The sequence below is a fragment of the Homo sapiens genome, chromosome 22 (assembly GCF_000001405.40).
Source record: "Homo sapiens chromosome 22, GRCh38.p14 Primary Assembly".
Lineage (NCBI taxonomy): Eukaryota > Metazoa > Chordata > Mammalia > Primates > Hominidae > Homo > Homo sapiens.
The window spans coordinates 23,411,160-23,417,253 of record NC_000022.11 but is presented as its reverse complement, the minus strand read 5'-3'; the positions used below and the strand labels follow the sequence as shown (position 1 = coordinate 23,417,253).

The following is a 6,094-nucleotide window of genomic DNA, read 5'->3' as shown; positions in this document are numbered from 1 at the left end:
GCACCATCTTGTCTCACTGCAACCTCTGCCTCCCAGGTTCAAGCAATTCTCTTGCCTTAGCCTCCCCAGTAGCTGGGACTACAGGCGTGTGCCACCATGTCTGGCTAATTTTTGTATTTTTAGTAGAGACAGAATTTCACCATCTTGGCCAGGCTGGTCTTGAACTCCTGACCTCAGGTGATCTGCCTACCTTGGCCTCTCAAAGTGCTGGGATTACAGGCATGAGCCACCACGCCCAGCCCGGTCTTTACTCACCTCTTGAGAGTCATTCTTGAGGCTGGGCACGGTGCTCACGCCTGTAATCCCAGCACTTTGAGAGGCCGAGGTGGGTGGTTTTGCCATTTGTCAAGTAGGGTGGAATTGGCTGCCTGCCAGTTTAAAGGGTCCTACTGGGAATAAAATTTGAATATAGAATTGGGCAGGCATGCTTTGAAAATACAGAATACAAGTGCCCTTTACTTACTGCTGCTTCCCCGCCCCAGGCAGAGGCTACTGCTCACCACTAGTGTAGGAGGACCAGTGACAGAGGTGTCAGAAGCTTCCCTGGCAGGACCTGCTCATCCTCCTGGACCTTGTAGTTTTGTGGAATCCACAAGGCAAGGCAGACAGATCCAGCAAACATCAGCTTGAAAGTACCAGGGACAAGCAGAGGGAGTAGAGGTCATGGGCTCTGTTCTCTAAGTTCACTGTTCACTTTGGAAGTCAAGGTGAGTACTGAAAGAGCAGCACGGCCCACCAGGGAGGCAGGGAATTGGGCACGCAGCACGCTCGGGCATTCTGCTGCACAAAAGGCAGGGGCTGTCCCCTCCCTGGCCGGACCTTCCTCCCATGCTCCAGGCACACCCTGCCTCAGGACTGTGGGACAGACTCCCCCTCCCTGAAACACTCTTTCCTGCAATATTGCATGCAGACTCCCTCAACCCTTGCATTGCATGCCTTTGCTCAGATGTCAGCTCCTCTGGGAATCCTCATGCCTCCCAGTTTAAAATGTCAGTGTGTCTCCTTCCCTCCGTGCTCCGGATTCCCTTTACTCTGCTTTACTCTCCATTTTTCCGGGGCACTCACCCTCTAGCATGCTGTGTTGCTCACTCATGCTTACTGAGAGGTGGAGGGCCTGGGCTCTGGAGCCAGGCTGCCTGGGGTTGAGTTGTGGCTTCACCACTTGCTACTCGTGTGGCTTTGGGTGGATTGTTTAACCCCTTTGCCTTGGTTTCCTTATTTATATGAACAATACCTAACTCAGAATTTTCATGAGGATCAAATGAATTTGTATTTATAAAATGCGTAGCATAACACCTGCCATGGAGTCAGTGCTATGTTATGTAAGTGTTTAATAAATACAGCTTCTGTTGTCCGTCTTCTTCCACAAAAATGGAAGCTTCATGAAGTCAGAAACCCTGTTTGTTTTGTTCTCTGATGGATTCCTAAGCGTTTTGAGCAGGACCTGGGGCAAAGCAGGCCATCTTTGCTCACCAAGTGAGTGACTGGGTTGGAGGAGGGTGTGGTCTGGGACGGTGTCAGGGAGTAGTGAGGTGTGGGTCAGTGCTGTGGACGGGTCTTCTCTGGGTCAGCTGGCTGAAGAGGCCGAAGCTGCTGTGTGCCAGTGTGTTTGCATACAGTCCGGGGGAGTGGGAGGGATGGTGCTGGGCTGGGGCGGAGGGGCTGGCTGCATTTGGAGAGTGCTGGGCCGAGTCCTACTGCAAGAGGAGAGAGAGGGTCTGGCTGTCAAGAGCAGTAAGATGCCTACAGGGCCCCGTATTTCCAAGCGCTCTTCCGTCCACCTCCTATCCTGGCCTGACCCCGCTTCACTTGGGAGAGCAGAGGATACCTTGTGCGTTCAGTGGGGAGGGCACGTCCACAGAGGCCTTGGCGAGGCTGCCTGCGTTGGGGAGGAACCTGGGCCCAGGTGCTCCAGGCTGTGGCTGGAGCAGGTGGAGCACAGCCAGCCGGGCTACACAGACCAGTCCCTGCCCACGGGCCTTCCCCCTCCCACCTACGGGCCACCCGTCTGCCGCCTTGCATCTTGCACCCTCCTGCCATGGACAGTGAGCCAGCCTGGCAGTGCCCTGCTGTGCTAACCAGGACCAGGAGGCCCGGGCCATCCTCCCTGACCACCTCACGGGGTCAGAGGACTGCACAAGAAATGGGTGCAGAGGCCGGCGCGGTGGCTTCGCCTGTGGTCCCAGCTACGAGAACAAGAGATCCACCTCAGGTGGTGTTCTCGGCCCGGGGCGACGGAGGGCGTCCAGCACCCATAGCGGGTGTCAGCCTTGGAGTTCCCAGCGGCCACCGCCAGGCACGGTGCAACCCAGCAGGAGAAGGGGTACTTGGGACATTTTTACATGCAGTCCCTGCGACTTCCGTTCCTCACCAGGGACGGCTGCCAGGAAGGGGACCGACTCCCCTCGGGACTCCCGGTCTGTACCAGCAGGGCCCAAGCTCCAGAGGGGTGGGGACCTTTCCCAGGGGCGCGGAGGCCGGGGTGCCCCTCCAGGACCTCCTTGGGCTGCGCCAGCAGCTCCAGGGCTCCGAGCGGTGGTAGATCTGGAAAACAGACCACAAAAGGCGTTGCAGAAACATGGATGTGACACTTTTAATTCCATTTAATTCCTCCACTCCAAAGAATGCAGGTCTTTCTAAATCATAAAACAAAGCCCAGAAGCCATCAAAGAAATAGCCTGACCACATAAAGTTCAAACAATTTATCTTTGCCTACTGCATGACCGAGTCGAATGACAACAAACAGGTGTGGGGGCGCATTTGTGCAAATATATTTGTGATGAGAATATCGTTCTCAGGCAAGTGTGGTGGCTCCCACCTGTAACCCTAGTGCTTTAGGAGGAGGCAGAAGGATCGCTTGAGGCCAGGAGTTTTAGGCAACATACTGAGACTCCATCTCCACAAAAACACACACACAAAACAACAAAATGGATGTTGCATTACTTACTATAATAACAAAAAAGGAAGAAGAAACCATAGGCATTGAGAGGGGCCTAGTTCAATAAGTCCCAGTGCATCCAAACAATGAAATACCATGAATTTGTGGGTTTTTTAAAATAAGGTAAATGTTGATGACAAACTGTTCAATGAAATGCACTTCACCTCGCTCATACAAACATTAACTGAAAATGGGTCACTTGCATGTTAAACATAAAACTATAAAACTTTAGGGGAGAAATTCCAAGAGAAAAAATGGAGCCCTACAACTAGGTAGAGATTTGAGACTTGACACCAAAAGCATGACCCATACAAATATGGATACATCAGAATTCATCAACATTTAAAACCTAGGCTCCATGAAACACTTAGCTTAAGAGGATGAAATGAAAAAGTACAGACCAGGAGAAAAGACAGGCATTCCTGGGAGATATTGCGGGTTCAGTTCCAGACTCCCACAATCAAAGCAAATATGGAAGTAAACTCAGTTACACAATGTTTTTGTTTCCCAGTGCATATACATGTTATGTTTACACTACAGTGTAATCTATTAAGTGTGCAATAGCATTATGTCTAAAAACCATGCACATTCCTTAATTTAAAAATACTCTCTTGGGCGGGGTGTTGTGGCTCATGCCTGTAATGCCAGCACTTAGGGAGGCCAGGGCAGGTGGATGTCTTGAGCTCAGGAGTTCGAGACCCGCCTTGGCAATGTGGTCCACAAAAAGAAATAAAATTAGCTGGGTGTGGTGGTACATGTCCATAGACCCAGCTACTAGGGAAGATAAGATGGGAGGATCGCTTGAGCCTGAGACGTCGACGCTGCAGTGAACCATGTTTGTGCCGCTGCACTCCAGCTTGAGTGACAGCACAAGATCCTGTCTCAAAAAAAGAAAAAAAAAAAAAAAACAAGAATATTGGTTTGCTTAATGACTTGTGATACAGAAAAAACTTTGCTAAAAAATGCTAAGGATTATCTGAGCCTTTAGAGACCCCTACATAATCTTTTTGATCTTTTTGCTGGTGGAGTCATGCCGTGAAGCTGATTGGCTGCTGGCTGATGAGGATGGCGGTTGCTGAAGGGTTGTTGTGGGGGGGGTTGCTGTGGCAGTTTCTCAAAATAAGACAATAATGAAGTTTGCCACATCGATTGACTCTCACAAAAGATTGATCTGTAGCTTTGTAATGCTGTTTGATAGCATTTTACCTACAGGAGAACTCCTTTCAAAATTGAAGTCAGTACTCTCAGATCCTGGTGCGGCTTTATTAACTAAGTGTATGCACTATTCTAAATCCTCTGTTGTCATTTCAACAATGTTCACAGCATCTTCCCCAGGAGTAGATTCTATCTCAGGAAACCACTTTCTTTGCTCACCCCTAAGAAGCAACTCCTCATCTGTTCAAGTTTGATCATGAAATCACAGCAATTCAATTCCATCTCCAGGCTCCACTTCTAATTCTAATTCTCTTGCTATTTCCCCCACATCTGCAGTGACTTTCTCCACTAAGTCCCGAACCCCTCAAAGTCATCCATGAGGGTTGGAATCCACTTCTTCCAAATGCCTGTTAATGTGGCTAGTTTGACCTCATCCTATTTGATCACAGATGTTCTTAATGGCATCTAGAATGGTGAATCATTTTGAGAAGGTTTTCAATTTACTTTGCCCAGATCCATCAGAGGAATCACCATGTATTGCAGCTACAGCATTATGAAATGTATTTTTTAAATAACAAGGCTTGAAAGTCTTTGTTCCACAGGCTGCAGAATGGATGTTGTGTTAGCAGGTATGAAAACAACACTTGTCTCCTTGTACATCTCCAGCAGAGCTCTTGGGTGACCAGGTGCATTGTCAGTGAGCAGTAATCTTTTGAAAGGTATCCTTTTCTCTGAGCAGTGGGTCTCAGAGAGGGCTTACAGTAAACCATGCTGTAAACAGATATGCTGTCATCCAGGCTTTGTTGATTATTTATAGAGCACAGGCAGAGTGGATCTGGCACAATTCTTAAGGGCCCTAGAGTTTTGGGAATGATGGATAAGAATTGGCTTCCATTTAAAGTTACCAGCTGCATTCACCCCTAACAAGAGAATCAGCCTGTCCTTTGAAGCTTTGAAGCCAGGCATTGACTTTCCTTCTCTAGCTAGGAAAGTCCTAGATTGCATCTTCCTCCAATAAAAGGCTGTTTTGTCTACATTGAAAATCTGTTGTTCAGTGTCACCACCTTCATCAGTGAACTCAGCTAGATCTTTTGGGTAATTACTGCAGCTTCTACCTCAGCACTTGCTGCTTCATCTTGCATTTTTCTGTTAGGGAGATGGCTTCCTTCCTTCATCTCATGAGCCAACCTCCTCTGCTAGCTTCAAACAGTTCTGTAGCTTCCTCACCTCTCTCAGCCTTCATAGAATTGAAGATAGTTAATGCTTTGTTCTGGATTAGGCTTTGTCTTCAGGGAATGTTGTGGCTGGTTTGATCTTCTAACCAGACCACTAAAACAAAACTTTTTGCATATCAGAAATAAGCTGTTTCACTTTGTTACCATTTGTGTGTTCACTGGAGTAGGACTTTTCATTTCCTTCAAGAACTTTTCCTTTGCATTCATGACTTGGCTAGCTGTTTAGTGCAAAAGGCCTAGATTTTGGCCTATCTAAGCTTTCAACATACCTTGCTGGCTAAGCTTAATTATTTCTAGTTTTGGATTTGAAGTGAGGGATGCACAACTCTTCCTTTCACTTGAACACTTAGAGGCCACTGTAGGGTTATTGATTGGCCTGGTTTCAATATTGTGTGTCAGAGAATAGGGAGGCCCAAGGAGAGAGAGAGACCTGAGGGAACAGCTGGTTGGTGGAGCTTTCAGAGCACACACAATATTTATCAATTAGTTCACAGTCTTATATGAGTGCAGTTCATGGTGCCCCAGAACAATGACAATGACAATAGTGACGTCAAAGATCACAGATTATCACAATACATATCATAATAATGAAAAAGTTTGAAATGTTGTGAGAATTACCAAAATTTTGACACAGAGACCCAAAGTGAGCACATGCTGTTGGGATGATGGCTCCTGTAGGTTTCCTTGATGCAGGATTGCCACGACCTTCAATTTGTACAGCAAAGTACAATAAAGCAAAGCATAATAAGATGAAGTCTGCTTGCAT

At 47.6% G+C, this 6,094-nt stretch overlaps 1 annotated feature.

Moving 5' to 3' along the window:
* Positions 280-914: an enhancer, noted in NCBI's record as "H3K4me1 hESC enhancer chr22:23758527-23759161 (GRCh37/hg19 assembly coordinates)". NCBI's record gives its function as "activates a minimal SCP1, AML or CMV promoter by ChIP-STARR-seq in naive and primed H9 embryonic stem cells {active_cell/tissue: H9 hESC(naive and primed)}" and the evidence as "EXISTENCE:reporter gene assay evidence [ECO:0000049][PMID:30033119]".